Genomic DNA, 21,485 nt, shown 5'->3' with positions numbered 1-21,485 from the left:
AGAGCAGGGGAAAATGTCCTGTTTTCTTCCTTAAAATCTCAACTATGCTCCAGGAGGCACATGGGAACACACTCTGTACCACATGCAAATTTCTTGCTGGAGAGACAAGAAGAAGAGCTTAGTACCTGCAAGACTTGTTTATTCAGTATCATGCTTCACTTTGCCCACATCTGGACTTCATTAGTTCCTCCCCACCCCTCCATCTCCCTTTATCTACAAGAGCCCTGCCAAGAAAACAAGGTTCCTCAACATTGCCTCCTCATTAAAGGCTAGTCGAGTTTTCAACTCTGAAAAATGTGCAGTTGTGCTGGCCCAGTGGTGCATTAGTGGGAGACCCAGTCCCCCAGTTTACAATCCACTACATCTGTGCAATTACCAAGACCACCAACAGAGAGAGGCCACATTAATCCTTCAACTGTGTTGTCCCCTGATCAGATGGCTACAGAGTTCTTCTGAGACCTTCTTATCCCTGGGGGAACAGTGGGAGGGGGCATCTATTTGTGATTTAACAACACAGGCATGGAGAGTGCACTAAATTTTCATCTGTTCCCTTTCTCCACCACCCACACTCACTCTCATGTCCTGGAAGAAGTGAGAACAGCAGCAATTCTTCCTTAGTTAGGTACAGCTCTTAGGGATTCATGACTATTTGAAAAACGTATCAATACGGAGGTGATGATATGCTCCATTTGAAGTCATAATGCTTAGGAGGCCGAGAAATACTTTCTGTGAGGGGCAGTGTGTGTTGGGGATGGGGTGGAGAGTCAGATAACATTTATGAGCTATTTAATGGACCAGAAACTCATGTCTTATCTTAAATCCTCTTCAACAGCTATGTGAGGTTGCTATTATTTACCACATTTGACAAATGAGGGAGGACACTGAGGCTTATAAGGTTGAAGTGACTAGCCCGAGGTTACTCTGCTTAGTGAATGGGGGAACACGAATTAAAACCTAGATCTGTTTGGCTTTCAAGCCTAAGTGCTTTAACAGATGCTAATGAAGGCCCACTCTGGTCGGTGCTATGTAGAGTGCTCTTTATTTAGTTAGCTATAAAAGCTTTTAGTTACTGGGCTTGGAGAGTTAAATGTATGGAGGAAGATAAAACATCTAGACCACTGGGCAGATGACTGCCCAAGATTGACAGTGTGCATCAATGGTTTGTAGAGATGGTGATCACCTGCTGTGTGTAGGTAGGTGCCGGGTGATACCTCCCTTATAGCAAGCAGGCTTTGTGGTAGGCACCTTGGCCTATAAGCTGATGTGTAAAATACAGATCTTGCCTTTGGATCTTATGGTTTAAAGGGAATTCAAGACAAGTACAAGTCTGACTATAGGATTAGACCCTCAAGGAAAGGAAATAATTAGTCTGAGAATAAGAGGAGAGTCAGGGCAGTGCATGGTGGTGGCTGCTAGGGAGGGGAGAGCTTCAAGGACGAAACATATCAGATGCTGCAGATTGTCTGAGGTCTAAATAAAGTGCTATGGGAGTTCAGAGGAAGAGCACTTAAGGCTAAGGCTTATGCCAAGGCTTCATCATCATCATTATTCACTGAGCACTCGTCTCATATAATTTTCACCACAACCCTGCTTTTGATACTGTCATCATCTTCATTTTTAGAGATAAGGAAACTGAGACTTAGAGAGCTCAGTTGTACAAGACTCATAAGTCAAAGAGCCAAACTCTAACCCAGAACACTAGTTGGCACTTGAGCTCTACTTTAAGGCATAAGTAGGATTTTCGTCAGAGAACCTGACCTAGGCAGAAGGAGTGGCTTCAGCCATTTTAGAGACTTCAAAACAATGAAGTGTTTTCAGGGAATGTAGAGCAGACCTGTTTGGCTGAATGAATGGAATATAAGGGAGTAGACAAGGTTACAGCAGGAAAAGAAGATTGTGGCAAGATCGTGAAGACCCTTGAATGCTGAGGAATTTTTACTCCAGCTAATTGGCTAGAGGTTGATGAGAGTATTTTAAGTGAGCTTGGTCAATTTTCTAATTAAGGTAAAGATGAGGCCTGAACCACAGTGGTGGCAATGCAAGGGAAATAGAAAAAGATGGATGCAAAAGACCTTGCAAAAGCCGGATGGACAATGGGATAAGGGAGAGGAAGGAGTCTAAGATTGCACATCTTTGTCAGTCATATGCTTGGTGGCATCTTGAGCAGAACTAGAGGGAAGAGAAGTGAAGTTTGGGACAGGAGTGGGAATGGGTGTGACCTTAGACTTGGTTAATTTGAAATGGTACTAACATCTCCAGGTGGGAGAGTTAGCAGAAGATTGGAATTGGGCCAATTAGGGGAAAGGGGTAGGCTGAAGCTAGAGAGAGACAGAGAGATGCCCTTTTGAAGGTCATCTTCACAGAGGTAACAATTGAAGCTATTGAAGCAGCTGAGATCACAGCAGAAAGCCAGGAACACAATCCTAGGGAAGACCCACATTTATTGGGTAGAAGTCAGATGTGGAACCACTAGAAGAAGCAGACATACATTTAGAAATAGTAACAAAAGCATGGTGGTGTGATATTAAGGAAGCCTAGGAAATTCAAGGTAAAAAAAAAAAAAAAGAGTAAGAGGTTGCAGTAGGCAATGCTGCAGAAAGAACAGCCAGGAGATTCTTGCATGGACTGGCAGAGTTGGGCATTCAGGAGGCCCATGACTCTGAGTCCCTGACTTTTGGGAAAACAATGATGCTTTATGCCTCAGACTCTCTTCTTCATGAGACTTGTGGGCACAGGGCAGCCACTGCTAATTTCAACCATAAATAACTTCTGTAGCCCCTCTCTGGCCTCTTTGCTGTCTTTATTCTAGATATTGGAGTTCTGACTTACCCATAAAGCCCAGAAATTATACTGGTGTCTTTGGACAGATCTATGTCTTCATTACCTTTCCCAGACAGTGAGGCACTGATCTTCTGAAAAAGGCTGAAGATGATAACCAAGTGACAGAAGAATCAGAGAATAAATTTCCAATCAACTATTTCTAGTTACTAAAGACGCTGCACTTTATTGCAGTAGATGGAGCAGTCAGTGCCAGAGAAAATACAGCCATACATCTGTCTCCATCCTTAGAAACAGGACCCAGTACATTATATTTTTCCTTTCCTTTGGGACTGAGAACTAAAGTGAGAAATGTGATTCTCCCTTCACGATTCTCCATCATCAACAGTTTGTTGAATTAATCTTTTCTGGGCAAAAGAAGTTCATCAATTCATGTAACCGAGATGTAAAAGAACAACTTGACCCTCTGTGGCTAGCAGGAACTTAGAGGTGCAGGTGCCTTTCAAGATGGCAGGCCCTTACTGGGTGTTCTGTGAACATATGTCTCTCTGGAGACATACATACTACTGCCTAGTAGGACTTCTAAGAGAAAGCCAGCTCGATGCCATTGGGAACAGCACAGGAATTAGAAGGAGGAAGCCCCAGCTTCAGTGATGGTCTTCTTGCTGTCTCATTTTTATCAGAGTGATTCACTGCCCTCTCTGGCCTTCATCATACTCATTTATATAAGTGTTGGTAATAATTTAGTAATTCATATGGTGTTGTGAGAAGCAAACAGTATAGTGGATGTGAAAGTGCTTTGAAAGCTGTAAAGTACTAAGCCAATATTATTAAAGCAGATCAGAGTATAGGAAAGTTTGTCCTTCAGACTCAGCGGTGGAAGATGAGTTCTCAGTCTCTGAAAGAGATTGTTAGGCTGCTGTGCAAAAATATTACTTTTCTTGGGATAATTTACAAATAGAGTGGAATGTTAAAAATAACACAAAACAGTAGAGTAGGGTTGTCCCTTCTGCTTTGGGTTTAGACTTTGCTTCTGTCTTGATCTGCTGAAAAATACATACTAGATAAAATGATCAAAAGCAATGTCATCCATACATACATTTTCTGGTCCTACCCTGGAGGGGTGGTATTTCCAAACTCTTCATTTAGGTATGGTATCGTCCAAGGAGCTCTTGGAAGAGATACTCTCTACAAAACATGTTTTTTATTTGTTTGTTTGCTTTCCTCTTCAATGGAGGGAAGAAAAAAGTTAACTTTTGGAGGGCTCTCCTGCTAGGTGCCAGGCGATTGACATATCACCTTATCTAATTCCCTGGCAATCCTGCCACATAGATATTATTAACCTTATTTTATAGATGAGGACATCTAAGCCCAGAGAGGTAAAGTCACATGCCTAAGGTAATAGACAAGATTCAGACAGGTTTTTCTGGCTACAACGTTGTTGCTTCTTTCACCACCTCTTGCTCTATCTTTTCCCAAAAATCTATCCTAATTTTTCTTCATATTTCCTCTCCATAACAGTTAAATATTTGTAAATATGTGGGCAGTTGAGCTCTTTTTCACCAGAAAAGACAGGAAGAGGAGCTGTCTTGCAGTTGGAGCCAACCTCTCTCCAAACTGCAGCCCTTCTCAGGCAAGGACTGATCCCTTTCTGTCCCCTTGTAGCTTAATTGCAATGCTTTCCCATTTTATTAGTTTCCAGATTCTGTGCCAAGTGCTTTAAAAGGCAGGTAGGGGAGAATTCTCTGCTTGCCTGGCAGCCTGCCATCACCCCCAGAATCTGTTGCTTGCTGTTTCAGAAAGGGATCAACATTGAAGGCATTTTTCTCAGCAGTGAAATTTACATATCAGAACCTTGCTGACTGAGGCAGAAATGAGGGCTCTAGGGGCAGGAGTCTGGGAGTGGGGACAGAGTCTTTGTAGGAGGAGGGGGAGGGAAGAGCTTATTTTCTTACCCAGGAATAAAAACATTGTGAGTAATGAATAAAGTCCGAAAGCAGTAAATCTGGGACTCGAGAGTTAGGTGTGTAACGTGTCGGAGAACAATTTAAGCCTTCGCCTCGTCTGTAGAGGTGAGGTATTCAGGCTGCCTTTCACAACCCAAATTTCATTAAATAGACTTTTAAGGGTTAGGATTACAAGAAGCCAAGTCCGCCTGGTTCATAATGATGATTTATGGCTGTGTTGTCGACTCCCTGACCCTTCTGTACAAGGGGATAGAGAAAATACATAATTTGTTGCTCATTCACTCTAAAATCTGTCAAGGCTGCCCCAGAAGCCATGTGGTCCTGGAGTCATGTGTCTGCTAAATGGCTTCAGCCTGGCCCTCTCCTTAAAAATCTGCAATTGCTCTTCTGCAGTGGAAATTGGTTTTAATAACAATAGAAATGATAAAATTATCTCAGTGTAGTCTGCTGTGGGTCTTTGAGCTTAAGAGTCAGAATACCTGGGCTCTACTCTTAACTCTGTCACTTACTGGCCTCAAATCCTTCAGAAAAGTCACTGTCTCCCAGAGCCTTAGTATCTCCATCTGTAGAATGGAATATCTTCTTCACAGAGAAGATTCAATGAAACTACAGTACAAAATAAATGTAAGAGATGGCTGCTGTTAACATTATTATTAGGAATTTGAGGTACTGCAAAATGTTCTTTTCATCTCCTTGTTTTCCCTTGAGTGAAGGAAACATTTTACTTTGCAATTTACTATCTTAAGACTGTGACACTAAAAATGGAAGTTTTAGAGATGGGACATTAGAGCTGAAAAGAATCCCTGAATTGTAATCAAACCCCGTCTCCCTAAAGTAACTGGAGCAGAAAGGTGACTCATCTGAGATTAATCAGTAAATTCATAAAAGAGATGCTAATTTGCATTGGAAACTCACATGTTCTTTCTCAGCATCAAACAGGAAATCGTGTTGACTGATCCTCAGGCCACACCTGCTTAGAAACAGTTCCTTAATCTGTAGCAGTGTCTGGTTCAGGGAACCAGAGAGCAATCTGAGGTCAGGGATTTTATCTGGGGCCTTGGTTCTGCTCCCTGCTTCTGGTGTCATCTCTGAGCAAGTAACTTTCCTCTGCCATTGCTTATTACCTGTGCTTGGTTGGCAGGCTAGTGGTGGATGGTGGACGTAGCCCAGGAAAGTTGAGAATAAATGTCATTGCAGTTATGAAGTCATAAATCAGAGTCTAGCACCCTCGTTTTGCAAATGCAGAAACCAATTTATCCCAAATTCACTAAACAAGTAGGGACTTGAACCTCGGCTACTTGACTCCTAGTTCAGTGCTCTTCCTCCTGCATAAAAAATCTCATATGACTTATAAATAAGGAAGAATAAAAAAGATTAAGAGAACATGATTGTGGTAATAAACATCTGGAACTTGTTTGCCTGTGAGGTTACATAGGGTAAATGTATAAACAGGTTCAAAAGGGGAATTAGATCATGAATGGTAGGAAAGAATGCTGGGCAGGGAGTCAGTGCACCTGGGTTTAATCTTTAGATGGGAGCTAATTTGGACCTAAGTTTCTTCTAAATATAATGGTCCCTTTCATTAATGACTTGCCATGCTTCCTGGAGTTTAATCTCTGCAACGTGTTATCAAAGCATTCTTGGTAATGTTGAGGGGATACTTCCAATTTTGTAATAAGGCAACTCTGAGGACTACCGTCCTGCTCCCTTTCCTTCATTTGTTCCTTCAACTGATAGTCTTTGAGCATCTATGCAGGGTCCCATACTAGTTTTGCTCTCTCAGGAAACGGCTATGCCAAGATGCTGGCTAGAGTGGCCTTTGCCTATGTTCCTCTAATACAGAATTGTACTCAATATGTTCTGGGAAAACAAAATGTAGCTCTTATATATAAAGCATTTATGAACACAGAGTCACTGTGTCAATGTTGGCAGTGATAATAGCTGTTCTCACTGCTGCACCTGTTTGTCCCTGGGCCCAGCTGGTGTTTCCTTCCTACGTGGTCGTCCTCCCCCAGACTTTGGAGCCCTTGAGGACCTTGATCAGACCTCATGCCTTGATGCTTTCCTCCACTGTAAAAGAATATTGGGAGCCTTTGCAAAGGAGTGTCCGGATATGCCAGACTATTGCTTCCCTTGTGGCTGTGCACATGCTCTCTTCCCTCTGAAAGGGCAAGTGTAACTCATCATCCTGCCCTGGGAGGAAGTGTGAAGGGACTTTTGTGGTGAGTGATGAGTTGACCATCACTGTCTCTGGGCTGTGGTTACAAGCAGGAAGTGGCCATGGCTGGGCTGTGGAGTTAAGACAAAGGCAGCAGGGTGTGTGGTTGTGCACATCATAGGCATTTACCTTACAGAACATCAGCTGTCCCCCATCCTTAATGTAAATGATGTCACTATATCTATCTTGAGCATCAGGATTTCGTGACATAAAGAATATAAAAGCAATGTCTGGTATATAATAGGTAATCAGTAATTGGTGGATTATTTTCAGTAGTGATAAATCTCCTCTAAGCATCATATCATAGATACAGTATGAAAATCAAGAAAGATTTGAGAAGGATCGTCAGGCTCAGAGAAGACAGCACAGGCTGACTGGAGGAAATTCACAAACACTGAAGGGCATCGTACTACAAGTTTCTTAGTTGTTAGACTGGTATTCTATTCATCACACTCTGCTTCTAAAAAGTAAAAGCATCACTTTCTGTGATCCAGGTCATTTCCCATTCATGTTATCCTATTTGAACCAACAACTGCAAAGGTGAGCAGCCTCCTTTTATGGAGCAGAAGGCCAAAGCTTGGAGGATGTAGATTATTGCTGAAGGATACCAGATTGGTGGCAGAGTCTGAATTCCCCAGGACTTAACCATGGTGTGTCCAGCTCTTCTTACAGAAACTCTCACCATGGCCAATGTCAGCACAAGGCTGAGGCCCTTACTAGAGTCAGGTCATTGTTGGTGATCCTTTACCCCAAATCTCAGAATCTCGAGATTTGCTCAGACCCTGTGACATCATAGCTACCCTTTACCTTGTCGTTGATTCTTCATTTAGTATTTCTTTTCTATAGTTAAGTTCTTGTCTCTCCCTTAAAAAAAAAGATACACACACACACACACACACACACACATACACATATATACATATAAATATATTTGGTTGTATATTTTTGTTGTTACAAAGGGGCTTAAAACACCCAACTATATTAGCGCTTTGATCTTTTCTTCTGTGCATATTTGTGTCTGTATATTTCATAAATAGAAAATTAGGACACTCCTTTGCAAATACTGAATATTCTCCTGTGTTGTTGAATATCCGTTACGGCATCAGTGTTGATGATGAATCTTGATACTGCCTAATTCCCCTGTTGGATTCCTTTTAGATCATCACGGGGGAATTCTACCGGATCTATTACCTGAAGAAGTCGCGGTCGACGATTCAGAACCCCTACGTGGCAGCACTCTATAAGCAAGTGGGCTGCTTCCTCTTTGGCTGTGCCATCAGCCAGTCTTTCACAGACATTGCCAAAGTGTCCATAGGGCGCCTGCGTCCTCACTTCTTGAGTGTCTGCAACCCTGATTTCAGCCAGATCAACTGCTCTGAAGGCTACATTCAGAACTACAGATGCAGAGGTGATGACAGCAAAGTCCAGGAAGCCAGGTGAGACACCACCTCCGCATGGCCAGAGCCTGGACCCCTTTCATACAGTGCAGTTCAGTGAGCACTTACTAGCTGGGCCCTGGTTTAGATGGGTGAATAAGGCATAGTTCCTATTCTTGAGGAACTCACAGTCAGATGATTGAGACAGATATGTAAATCAATACTTCCGATATAGCATGGGTAGGTACATTCATTCATTCATTCTTTTGTTTATTCATGAATTCATAGGTGCCTGCTATGTTCCAGGCATGGGTCCAAAGCACTACCAAGGATGCAAAAATGAACAGGGCCTAGTGCCTGCTCTCAAGGTTACAGTCTAGGGAGGGAAGACAGACAGACAAGTGTGTATCAGGGATGTGAATACGGCCCTTTCATGGCCCTCTCTTGCTCTTGCAGGAAGTCCTTCTTCTCTGGCCATGCCTCCTTCTCCATGTACACTATGCTGTATTTGGTGGTAAGTACCCACCCTTTGATTTGAGCAGTGCTCAGTTCCAGCTTCGATCCCTTCTGATATGATAGCCCTCAAAATAGTTTAGGGGCATGCCATCACTGTGAAATCCTTGAAAAAGAGGTTAGCTAGAAAAGTTAGGTTTAATTCTGAGCGCTGCCACTGCCTTAGCAGAAGTTATTTTACTTTCTAGTTTTTTCCCCCATTTTTCAAATAAAAATAGTATTTGCCATAGCTGCTTGATAAGCATTGTGGACACATTTTGGAATTTTAAAGTGATAAAGACACTTGTATTAGGTTGGTGCAAGAGTAATTGAGGTTTTTGCCGTTACAAAAACCCCTGGACTACATTACTTAAATGGCAAAAACCACTTACTCTTGCACCACCCTAAATATAACATTTTAGGGTACAAACACTGTTTTCTGAAAATCTATGGTGGGAAAAGATTGCTAAGTAAGTCTCAGAAAATTAAAGTGAACTGCCAAAATGTACGTAACAGCAGGACTGTTGCTCAAGCCCAAGCCTTCTGATAAATTTTTTTGCAACGTTCACCATGTCAGTCCTCTATATTCTACGGATGGAAGGGCTTTAAGGATCATCATTACCTAAGTATTTAGAATAATTTTGAGTTTTGCAAAATACTTCTGCTCCATGAGGACGCATGACTTCATAACAACACTGTGAAGTATAAAATCCATGCCCCATTTCTCAAATCCACAGACCAAGGCCCAGAGAGGATAAGCAGCATGTTTGAGTTCCTTCAACCAGTAGTAGAACCATGATTTGATTCCCATGCTCTTCTCATGGCCGTGTCTGCTCTGATTTCCTGGAGACGGTTGGGTAATGCAGGTGAAGTGCCCTGCTTGCCTCCAGCTGCTGGACAGACAGAGGGCTGGTCTGTTTTTCTTTGTCAGTTACATGTGGGTTTCCCTGCCTTGCCTTTCCCCTTGAATGAGGTCCGTGTGTGCCAAGGCACTTCCTGCTTTCAGCCGCTTTGATAGAATTCAGAGCGAGAAGGTGCTAAGAGGTCAGACATAGCTCAGAGGAGCACAAGCTGTTTGAAAAAAGAACATTTTGATTTCAACTTATTGAAAAAGCACAATTAGGAATTGGGAAAAACAGCAGAAAGTTTGTTTTATTTATTTATTTTTCCCCCCAATCCTTTCTAAGTTTAGAGGCCTCTAAACTAAGCCAACATTGGCTTCCCATTACCGAGGATGCAGAGCTGAAAGATGAGCCCCAACTTATGACAACATTAAACATGGATTTTATGTGTTCATGAATAGCACTTCCCTCCATTCTTCATCTTTTTTTTTGTTTTGCTCTTAGAAAGGAAAATTTAGCAAAGATATTTAGGTTCCTGCTCCCTTTGTGTATTTTACCCAGGGCTGGAAACAATTTTAAAAATGTAATTTCGATGTTTTATAAAAGTGCTTAGAGGAACTGGGTATGTGTTCATTTTTTTCATATCCCTTCATTTTATTCCAAATGAAAAATACTGGATTGTTTTGAAGCCAGCACTGTGCACTGTAGCCTTCACAGCTGCGCAGCAGGTGAAGATGCTGACACACTTTGGATGCCTTCTGTGTGCCAGGCACCATATCTACTTACTCTGTGACATTTGCTTCTCAGTGACCTGATGAGGTGCATTTTGATTATCCTATCCAATTTGAATCTAAGAAGTTCAGTAACAAAAGTTCTACCATCAGTCAGAGGCAGAAAAGGTATTTGCAGGCCAGACTCCAGCATTGTTTTATGTTCTTTTCATTGTACTGTGCTACAAAACTCAAAACAAACAAAAACCAGACCTCTTCAGGTTGAACTTAAGGAATATTACCTCTTAACCCTAACTTAAATTTTGCCTGAAGGAGACCTGTCTCCTTTTGCTTTGATGGTTGAGATGTCCCCTCCCTCCGGTCCCCAACTCCAATTACCTCCTTACCATCTAGAGATCTCTGTGGGGATGATGGGTGAGAGGTATATTTTGATTGAAGGTTTATTTGCATCCCTCAGAGGGAGGAAAAAGTTGTAGTGCTTCCATATTGCTGGAAGGAAGGAAGAGAAAGAGGGAAGGAAGAGAAAAGGGAGAGAGGAAAGGAAGAGAGAGGGAGGGAGGAGAGCCTCCTTTGGCTGGATGGTGGCTTATACCTGTAATCTCGGCACTTAAGAGGCCAAGATAAGAGGATCCCTTGAGGCCAGCAGTTTGAGACAAGTCTGGACAGCACAGGGAGACCCTGTCTCTTTAAAAAAATAAAAGAAGGAGAGCCTCCTTAATCCATCCTCTCCTCAGCATGTTATTATATCCCCCACCTCCCACCCCACTGTGCACATACGCTCTTCAGAACTCTTGCACAAACACACATTCAACACTCACAACTCACATATACAACATATATATACACAGCTCTATTTTTAGCTCTAAGGTTATCTTGCCCTAAAACAACCTGTGAAGATAAGGGTCAAAAAGTGAGGACAGCACTCTCTGCCAGGGCATGTGTTTATGTGATATTACAGAGAAATCCCAGCTCTTGTAACATCTGATCTGCAAAACTTTCTTTGTTCTTCTTCTTCTTTTTTTTTTTTTTTTTTTTTTGAGACAGAGTCTCATTCTGTCACTCAGGATGGAGCACAGTGGCACCATCTTGGCTCACTGCAACCTCTGCCTCTTGGACTCAGGTGATCCTTCCACCTCAGCCACCTGAGTAGCTGGGACCACAGGCACATGCCACCACACCCAGCTAATTTTTGTATTTTTTTGTAGAGACGAGGCTTTGCCATGTTGGCCAGGCTGGTTTTGAACTCCTGGGCTCAAGCAATCCAACCACCTTGGCCTCCCAAAGTGCTGGGACTACAGATGTGAGCCTCCGTGCTAGGCCGATTTGCAAAAGTTTCTTTTTTTTTTTTTTTTTTTTTTTTTGAGATGGAGTCTCGCTCTGTTGCACAGGCTGGAGTGCAGTGGTGCAATCTCGGCTCACTGCAACCTCTGCCTCCCAGATTCAAGCAATTCTCCTGCCTTAGACTCCCAAGTAGCTGGGATTACAGGTGTGTGGCACCACACCCAGCAAATTTTTGTATTTTTAATAGAGACAGGGTTTCACCATGTTGGCCAGGCTGGTCTTGAACTCCTGACCTCAGGTGATCCACCCACCTCAGCCTCCCAAAGTGTTGGGATTACAGGCATGAGCCACCACCCACCTCAGCCTCCCAAAGTGTTGGGATTACAGGCATGAGCCACTAGGTTTGGCTGATTTGCAAAACTTTCTAAAGAAAATTGAAAGGACACAATTTCGGCCCACCAGAGGAGGTGGGAAACTCTGCAGTCAGTCCGAGAAGCCCTTAGACCCTCCCCCAGGGCTTTTATGTTGAGCTGCAGGAAGTTCTGGAGTTGGGCAAAGAGACTGGACTCCCCGGTGTACCCAGTGCTGTTTTTTTGTTCATGCAGCCTGTGATTCATAGCTTCCCTGGGGTGTTGGGGAGAATCACATTTGGGTCAGCCAGGTTTAGCACTGACAGTTTTGTCTTTAGAATCAAGCAGATGTGGAATCAAATCTGGCTGTATCCATGACCAGCTCTGAAGCCATGAGTGGGTTACATAGCTTTAGAGCCTCAGCATACTCATCTGGAAAGTGGAAGTGATCATGTCTATTTTGCAGAGTTGTTGCCACTTTTCCTCTCTGGACCCCACTTTCCCCATCTGTCAGATGAAAGAGTGGGATGAGATGGCCTGTCTATTTATCTCTCAATCACAATGGCTCTATTTGAAAAAAGTTTGAACTGCCCTAAGTGCTAAAAAGGAAGATGGGGAGCCATCAAGACAAACTTAGGCCTACATTACCATCGAGTTCAGAGAATGGCAGACCGGAAGCACCAGCCAGCTCCACTCCAGGCTTTTCACAGCAGCCACTTCTAGAGGCTCCATAACTTTAAGGGCACTTCATGTTAGGTCAATGAATAAATTTTGCCAAATGATGAGCTTGGAAAAACCATGCCCCAAACACCAAATTATCCTGCACACAGAAGCTTAAGGGTGAGGTTAAGGCTTGTTAGAGATTAATGCAAGTTCTAATTAAAAAAAAAAAAACAAACCCACAGCATATATAAGCACAAAGTATGCTTTATACCTCTGAGCCCTGGCCTGAACCCCAGAGGACCACGTCTGTATTGACCCTGCACCTCCATGGTCGGAGACTGAGGATGACATGCTATCTGGATAAAATGTCAACACCAGGGCAGACACCAATTCATGCAGCTGAATGTCTGCTGTGTTGTGCTGAGCCCTGCCCTTAAGGAACTCACCTGTGCATCCAACATTGAGCATTTGGTATATGCTTAGTGAGGGACTATGATGCACCAAGCACCAGCTAGGAGTGGGAATGGGGAGATGGTTACAGCCCTTGCATAATTTAGTCTAGAGAAACAGTACACAATGATAATAGTCTGATACATTGTCCCTCAGGGGCAAGGGGATATGTAGGTTATATTACGGACTCTCAGAATTATGACCCCTAGGCTCACCTGGAGCAGAGAGTGGCAGTAGAGGTAGTTAGTCACATGAAGATAGAGGAGACTGGAAGAACTACATGTGTGAAGGTGAAAAGGAGGAGGTGATTTGGAGAACTGCAGGTATTCAGTTCAGTACAGCTTGGATGGCTGCTAGGAACCAGGGAATGGAGGGCACGCTTGAGAGTGGAAAATACCTTTGGGATCAGTCCCAGCTCCTCATTTTGCAGGTGCATTAGGCAGCCACTTTGTGTCAAGGCCTTTCCTTAGCTGCTGTTCTCCCCGCACCCCACCCCGAAATCTGCACCTTGCCCCCACCCACCTTCTTTAGAAGCCTTTCCTGACTACCCTGTTTAGAATGACAACCCCCTCCTCTGACACTGTTCTCCCTATGCCCCTTTGCAGCCTTACGTCTCACCATCTGACATACTACATACTTACTTGCTTTTTTGTTTCTTCCAACTAAATTATAAATTCTGGCTGGGTGCAGTTGTTCATGCCTGTAATCTCAGCACTTTGGGAGGCCAAGGCAGGAGAATTGCTTGAGCCCAGGAGTTCAGGATCAGCCTGGGCAACATAGTGAGACCCTGTCTATATATATATATATATATAAATGATTAAAAAAGGCTGTAAATTCCCCGGGGGAGAGATTTTTTGGTCTCTTCATTCACTACTATATCCTACTTCCCAAAATAATGCCTGATACCTAGTAAGTGTGCAATAAATATTTGATAGATGAATGAATGAATGAATTTCAGGTCTTCTGACACTCGGGCCATCCGCCTTTCCATTCTGATCAGAACTTTTTTTGTCTCCTCATCACGGACTTGATAGATTGCTAAGGGCCTGTGTAATGTAGGGAAAGTCTTTGCTCCCTCTTTGCTGAGCTCTCTCCCTATTGACCCTTTACTGTGCTGTCCCAGGAGAACTGTTTGTGTGTCAGAGGGTTTGTTGGGTGCCAAGGAAATGGAAGTGGCTGTGCTCTGACAGCCCTTTCTCTGGGCTGTGCTTGTTAGCCATTGAGGTTTTGTTCAGCATGTATGGCGCCCTGGAGCCTAGGGTCTGGTATGCCCACGAGGTGTACCCACAGATCCTGGGAGCAGCTGTAGAAACTCCTTTGGGGAGCAAGATTGTTGTTTCCAAGGGGAATCTGTACCAGATGTTTTTCCTCTTTTTTCTCCCTATATCATTCACTCACCCCACCACACATCCATCTATTTCTGAGTACCTCTTCTGTGACAGACCCTGTGTGAGTGCCTGGGGACACCAAAAGAGCTCATAATTTTGTGTGGAAAGCCAGAGAAGTAAATAGTGGCCAAACAGCTGGATGCATTCTCTGCTTAGGGGTGGACTCAGGGGATGGAAGTGGCCCTCACCTCTGCTATGAGGTATAATGAGTCAGCTCTTAGGCTCCCTTCAGCTTCAGATCAGGTCAGAGATTATTCCACTGTAACTCTTACAAAAGCTGTACGCTTGTGTTTCAAATGTGGAGGTTGATGGAAGTGTGTGCAGGTGAATTAGAGGAGTCTGAAGTTCTAAATGTCCCCTGGAGGTTGTCCTTTGGTGTTTTGCCCTCAAACTGCCTCTTTTCTCCAAAGACAGAGGTCCAGTATAAAAAGACTAAGACTTTATGTGAAGCAGTAATTCCCTAAGGAAGCCAGGCGGTTCTGTGCTTAGAGCACAGACTCAGAAAGAGGCAAATATACTCAATGTACATCATATCTCTTGGTTACCTTGAGCAAGTACTGTGGCTTCTTTTAGCCTTGATTTCTTCATCTGTAGAATGGGCACAGTGGTATCCACCTAACAGGATTATTGTGACAATTGCAGGTAATGTAATTTAAAGCACTACTGGCCCAGGGGCTACACCAATGCTCAGCAAAATGGTGGTTTTCTTTCCTCCCTCTGATAGTGACAGAAGATAAGATAGGATTTTCTTCTAAAGGAAAAGTCAATCGAAAATTCTTTTGTCCTGAAAGTAGTTAAAGAACATTCCAGAGAGATTCTACAATATGTTTGCAAGCTACCCACCAGGCACATGAACCAGAGCCCAGTGAAAGCCATAGAGGAAATTAGAGAAGGGAGAAAGTTTCTCACTGGGTGTCAGTGGTCTGGACTGGCTTCCAGGAAGAGGGTAGGCAGGGACCTAAGGAAGGACAAAAGCCTTCTTTTCACTCTTAGCGGAGCTGTCCCAAGAGCAATGGAAATGAAGTGAGAGGACAGTACAGACCTGTTCCACCAGTATGCAAATCATGTAATGAAACACAAATGACTTAGCAAGAACGAATGTGACTCACACACTCATCTGACTCTGCTGGTTCAGACCAGAGGAACAGCCTCAAGTTCAGTCGGACCTTTCTAAGGAGGTTTTGTTGGAATTCCACAAGACCCTAGTTCTGAAGGTAGGACAAAGAAGGAGAAGAGAACTGCACTGACAGAGTGAGTTCTACATGCCAGGGCCTTACATACATCATTTTGGGGTATGGGAAACAGACATACATCTTTCTTTTTCTCATATCCACAATCAGCAATTTTTTTTTTTTTTTTTAGCAACGGAAAGCGAAATCTTAATACAAGAAAAGGCCTTTAAGATTATATACAAGCTGTACGTAGCAGAGAAAAGGTTCCAATCTAGTTGCTGTGGCTGCAAATCACTTTCTGCGGTGTCATTGTGGGGCTTGGGAAGTAGTTTCAGAGGGCTGATTCTCTAGCCCAGAGGCCTTCATGCAGATGAGGAAGTGAATGCAGATAAGCCAGAATGTCAGCAGTAGACTAGAAGAGGTCAAGATGATTAGACTTTCAGGTTTTGTCCAGCTCTACTTACCCTTTCAGGGCACCTAGGACTTTACTAAAGCCCCTCTGGGTATTCTGATCTGGGAAAGTGTGTTTTGGTCTAGAATAGGGGGATGACATCATCTATCAGCAGGGTTTGACTTCCTTTCTTGAATAAGTTGTACCTGTCTTCTGTGGAGTGGGAATAAATGGAGCCTCCAGAGTTACTTGTCCCCAGGCTCCAGAATGTACTCACTGATCCTAGTGAGGCCCAAACCTGTGGCCTGGAGTGGCTTGTGTGAACTGGGTTCTACACTGGCAAAATCCAATCCATTTGACAGCAGTGAAATTGGAGTGGGATGGAGAAGGTCATCGTATCCTTTCATCAATCCCAAAGCCTGTTGCTACTGGCTTTTTTCTCATATCAGATGTAGCCACTGGATGGAAAGTCATTGTGCAATCTCATTCTCGACTCTTCTTTAAGTTTCACCAAAACTTACTTGTTTTGGTGAAATTGCCACAGTCATTGAGTAAATGTCATTCACCAGGGCAGAAAGGTAACCTGGATTTCTGAAAAGTATCCTGAGTGCCCGTCCTGTGCCGGACAGGTTCCTTTCCATGTCATCTCCTTTGATCCTGGCAACCCAGAGAAGGAGATAGTACTGTTCTACCTATTTTACAGAGAAGGAGACTGAGGCTTATAGAAGTAAACTGACCACCCACTTAGTAAGTGACAGAGCCAGGACTGGAATCAGGGCTATTGTACCCCAAAATGCACTTTACTATTGCACTGCTTTCCCCAAAATCCCCTGCTGCAGACACCAGGATCAGTGCTGACCTTGAGGCATTCCTCCATAAATGTGTTAGTTAACTGATGGATATCAGGGAACAAGCTCTCATCTGCTTACTGTGATGTCTGACTGACTGCTTCCCAAAGGCGTTCTTTTCCCTTGGCTCCCTACTCCTTTCTCATTCATAAGCACTCCCTTCCTTTCTGGAGCTATTCTGATGACTGGTCTCTTCCTCTCTTCTCAAATTCTTATGGTGTATTTATTTTTTTCTTGTATTAAGCTCCAACCTTAAGTATCTGAATCAGGGGAAGGGGAGATGTGGGCTTTGTCCGGTTGGGAAACACGCCCTTCCTCTGCCCCACCCTTGATTTCCAAGGCTTGTGATCTAAGCCTGCATGCAGGGGCAGGGGGAATGGTTGAAGGACTCGTAACAAGCATTTTCCGAGGACCTACAGATTTTTCAGCAAGGGAATTTAGAAAATCTTGCCACTCCAAATTAAGAAATGTGATTAAAGAATAAAATCACCTATTTGTTGAGTAGTATTTCATGCTATCCTCTTGATCTACATTATCAACCAACCTGGACCACAGCCTCTAAGAGAGTGGTTGCTACACTTATTTTATATGTGAGAAAATGGAGGCTCAGGGAGGTTTTCCTGATTAAAATCTGTGCTCTGTCTGTTATGCACCCCACCCTTGTCCACTGCCAAGAATAGCTGAGGGAAGGCCAAACATACTGAGTACACTGCAAGTGGATGATTCCTTGTTCTTGAATTTGCCATTGTCCTGAAGACTTGTGTTGAGTTGGAGCTAGACTAACACCGTCTTCATCCCCATTTCCAAAAGGAGGCATATTTTCATCCACTGGTAGGTCATTAAGGGAGTAGTCTTTGGCCTATATAGCTCCAATTCACTGACTTTGGTATTGCCTATAGTGACCCAGTCTTGCCTAGAGCTCTTGAAAAGCACTGAGAGTGTGGTACTCAGTGCTTTGCATGAAATCATTTAATTTTTCACCATTGCTTACAGTAATATTTTCCAATTGTGATTCAAATAGGTAGATGTTCTCTGAAAATAGTGATTAAAGGTCAAATAAGTATTCTTTCCTTCAGGACTTCTCAGAGGCTTTAGTAATCTTATAAGCATGATAATTGACAAAAATAAGGATTTAGTATAGAACATTCACCTATCTTTTTTGAAGAAACCCTTAATATTCAGTGGAATATGGTTTGGGAAAGACTGGCCTCCAAAATAAGGTCTGGGTTGCTTAGTTTGACACTGAAAGCCCTTCGTGAACTAGGCCCTCCTTGTCTCTGCAGCCCTATTTCTCACCACTGCTCACCCACCTTCCCCAACACCCTCTTCTCCAGCTATACTGAACTATTTGAAGTTTTGGGGAACTTCTGTGGAAGGCCTCTGAGCCACCCCTCTGCCTGGAATATATATCCCCCACTCCTGCCCCCTTAAACCCAGCAAATACTCATTCACCTTTAGGATTCTGGTCAAGTATCCCTTCCAAATAGTAATTGACCCCAGCCTCTAACTTCTTTCATAGCTCCTATAAAACACATTAGTATACTTATTTATTTTCTTGTATCCCTCAACTGTCTGCTCTATATGTCAGGATTTATAAATCCTCATTTTTCTTTGTCTTTAGCACTTTTCATAGTGCCTAGCTTTTTTCTTTTTTTTTAAATTTAATTTAACGTATTTATTTATTTATTTATTTTGCCTAGTACCACAGATTTGGTCTTTTAGATTATCTTTAGAATAATTTTTTCCCCACATCTTTTTCGGATGTCCATGGCAATCTAATAGTATTTACATATCAACTTCTGAATTTAAAAGTTTAGTGTTCTAAGTAAAATTCTCCCTCTCTGTCTCTTCAAATTGTCCTTTACCTCCTTTATTCCATAAAGGCTCTATGCTATCTTCTTTTACATTTTTAACTGGTTATTATTTATATATGAGAAAACCATTGTTTTTATCCCTTGTTTAGCAGGCAACGGCCTCAGTGTGATCTTTTTTGTCAGTATTCTTATTTTTTCCTCTTAAGTTTTTCCAATAATACATTTTTATAATTTCAAAATGATTATAAAGTAGTCTGCTGTCTTCCATGTCTGCTTATTTGAAATAGTGTTCCACGTAGTTGAGGATTCAGTCCTAGACACTTATGGCTAAGAATGATTCTGGGATCTTCCACTCTTCTGTCTCATCAAGACTGGCCACTGGCTTGCTCTTTTCTTGCCACCGAAGGAAGGTGTCCATCTGTCCCAGGAAGGACAAACTCATGTCTTCAGCACTGCCACAGGTCTATCTTTAGGCCATCAGCCACCTCCCCTCCGCTCTCTTCCCTTCTCCTGCCTCTCCAAGTGCTTTGATTTGTAGTCGGAAGTTCCTCTTGTCCACTTGCCTCTTCCCCCTCATTTCCCAAGTTCCCACAGGAACCTGGGAATAGGTTGTGCCCAGAGGTTAGAACGGAAACTGCAGCAAGATAACTCTGAGGGGACAATGCCCAGTTGACGTCATTTCAACTACTTTGCTTCAGCTAGAGGTGGTTTTTTTTTTAATCTTCCATTTTTCTTCAGGTTACTCTTCTACTCCACCCTGTCTAGTGTCTGTCAACTTCTATTTGAAAATTCCCTGGCATTGTCTCGTTGGTTTATTGTTTCCTTATATTCTCATTCAATATCCATAGTTCCAAGTGGTGACTTAGAAATGTGTCCTTGATAGAGTTGCTTTCTTCTGAAGCAGAAGCATCTCATTGGGGATATAATAACTTCCTCTTATCATTGCATATTTAATTTCCGTGCTGACACCAGGTAGTGTAGGGATTATATAGCCGTAATCCCCAGGGAAATACACAAATGTGTTAAGTAAGTTGTCATCAATTGTAAAAAAAGAAACCTTTACAAGCCCTGGTTACTGCTCTTTAATTATTAGTTTCAGTCAAGAGGAAGATAAAAGGAAACTATCATTTATTACGTTCCTACTATGTGGCAGTGTGCTAAGGCCATTTACATATATTATATTGCTCAGCTTTCCCTGGTTTATCTCCCTAGATAAACTCTATTTTTCCTATTTTTTAGTGTGAGAACTAAGACTCAGCATTTATTTATTTATTTACTTACTTACTTACTTATTTATTTTTTTGAGGCAGAGTCTCACTCTGTTGCCCAGACCGAACTGCAGTGGTGCGATCTCGGCTCACTGCGACCTCCGCCTCCTGGGTTCAAGTGATTTTCCTGCCTCAGCCTCCTGAGTAGCTGGGACTATAGGCACATGCCATCACACCCAGATAATTTTTGTATTTTTATTACAGATGAGGTTTCACTATGTTGGCCAGACTGGTCTCAAACACCTGACCTCAGGTGATCTGCCCACCTCAGCCACACGAAGTGCTGGGATTACAGACGTGAGCCACCGTGCCTAGCCAGGCTCAGCATTTAAATAACTGGCTTGAGGTCATGTTCAAATTGCTGTATCTACAACATGCCACCCAAGGTCCAGATGATCCCTGTTCGTAGAAATGTAGTGTGTGTCACCTGGGGTTATAGTGCATGTGAGTGGGGAGTCACTTAATGTCTGTTCCTTTTTGTCTCCTTTCTCCAGCTATACCTGCAGGCCCGCTTCACTTGGCGAGGAGCCCGCCTGCTCCGGCCCCTCCTGCAGTTCACCTTGATCATGATGGCCTTCTACACGGGACTGTCTCGCGTATCAGACCACAAGCACCATCCCAGTGATGTTCTGGCAGGATTTGCTCAAGGAGCCCTGGTGGCCTGCTGCATAGTAAGTAGCATCTTGTCCTCAATATGCAAGTGGAGCCCTGGACTGTTGCTTGTTAAATGTTTCCAGCTCAGTGACTAAAGCTAGAGAGCCCTCGTTCCTGTCCTCTGCTTGGTGTCTGAAGAGTCACCTGGCCTTAGGCCTTAGGCCTTAGGACTCCTTCAGTAAAATGAGAATAATTCCTGCTTCTTCCCAGCCTGTGAGTTTTGATCTGATAGGGTCTGTAAATCTCTGTAAATACAGAGGTTTTGGGCTCGTAGAATGTTGCAATTGGAAGAGAGCTGAGATATTGTCCAACTTGCTCATGTTATAGATGAGGAAATTTAGGGAAGAAACTTACCCAAGGTCATGTGTCAGCAGGTCATGCTTAGTGTCATGCTAAGTCTGTTGACCTAGTAGCAAGATCTAAGTCTCCTGACTCGAGTGCTCACATGCTGTTTTGGTGGACACAGTACGCAATGGGACTTCTCCGCTTCTTGGAAAATGCCTCCTCTTCCCTCTGTGACCTTGGGAGTGACTCACACAGACCCTAAACTCAGTGTTCATTGGAGAAGAGGAGGTTATCTGAAGGCTGAGCCCTCTCTCAGCCTGAGGCCCTCGTACATCGAGTCACAGACTTCCTAGGGATAACTTGGGATGGACCACATACTGATTTGCCCCAAATGAATGGGTTACCTTTTCACATACTTCATCTCTGACTCCAGGTGAAGGTGGGAGAAGGCATTGCACTTCTCTGAGCCTCCATCTGTAGGCACTGCTTTTCCTGCCTGCTAAGAGTTTTGAGGGGC

General features: G+C 43.3%; 1 protein-coding gene across 1 annotated transcript in view, besides 5 other annotated features; it reads left to right on the top strand.

Moving 5' to 3' along the window:
- The window catches only part of PLPP3 (phospholipid phosphatase 3), an 84,803-nt gene that overhangs the window by 46,888 nt on the left and 16,430 nt on the right, over positions 1 to 21,485 (top strand). Inside the window, exons 3-5 of the mRNA NM_003713.5 lie at positions 8,122 to 8,399; positions 8,796 to 8,853; positions 20,524 to 20,700. Coding sequence (NP_003704.3) covers positions 8,122 to 8,399; positions 8,796 to 8,853; positions 20,524 to 20,700 — 513 coding nt within the window. The remainder of the gene's footprint in view (positions 1 to 8,121; positions 8,400 to 8,795; positions 8,854 to 20,523; positions 20,701 to 21,485) is intronic.
- Positions 618 to 1,353: an enhancer, noted in NCBI's record as "NANOG-H3K4me1 hESC enhancer chr1:56996995-56997730 (GRCh37/hg19 assembly coordinates)". NCBI's record gives its function as "activates a minimal SCP1, AML or CMV promoter by ChIP-STARR-seq in naive H9 embryonic stem cells {active_cell/tissue: H9 hESC(naive)}" and the evidence as "EXISTENCE:reporter gene assay evidence [ECO:0000049][PMID:30033119]".
- Positions 6,666 to 6,945: an enhancer, noted in NCBI's record as "active region_1078". NCBI's record gives its function as "activates an Ori minimal core promoter by ATAC-STARR-seq in GM12878 lymphoblastoid cells {active_cell/tissue: GM12878}" and the evidence as "EXISTENCE:reporter gene assay evidence [ECO:0000049][PMID:35858748]".
- Positions 15,892 to 16,041: an enhancer, noted in NCBI's record as "active region_1077". NCBI's record gives its function as "activates an Ori minimal core promoter by ATAC-STARR-seq in GM12878 lymphoblastoid cells {active_cell/tissue: GM12878}" and the evidence as "EXISTENCE:reporter gene assay evidence [ECO:0000049][PMID:35858748]".
- Positions 20,004 to 20,503: an enhancer, noted in NCBI's record as "H3K4me1 hESC enhancer chr1:56977845-56978344 (GRCh37/hg19 assembly coordinates)". NCBI's record gives its function as "activates a minimal SCP1, AML or CMV promoter by ChIP-STARR-seq in primed H9 embryonic stem cells {active_cell/tissue: H9 hESC(primed)}" and the evidence as "EXISTENCE:reporter gene assay evidence [ECO:0000049][PMID:30033119]".
- Positions 20,504 to 21,005: an enhancer, noted in NCBI's record as "H3K4me1 hESC enhancer chr1:56977343-56977844 (GRCh37/hg19 assembly coordinates)". NCBI's record gives its function as "activates a minimal SCP1, AML or CMV promoter by ChIP-STARR-seq in primed H9 embryonic stem cells {active_cell/tissue: H9 hESC(primed)}" and the evidence as "EXISTENCE:reporter gene assay evidence [ECO:0000049][PMID:30033119]".

Source organism: Homo sapiens, chromosome 1, assembly GCF_000001405.40.
Source record: "Homo sapiens chromosome 1, GRCh38.p14 Primary Assembly".
Taxonomy (NCBI): Eukaryota; Metazoa; Chordata; class Mammalia; order Primates; family Hominidae; genus Homo; species Homo sapiens.
Note: the sequence above shows the minus strand (reverse complement) of the source record. Positions and strands in the feature narration are given on the sequence as shown.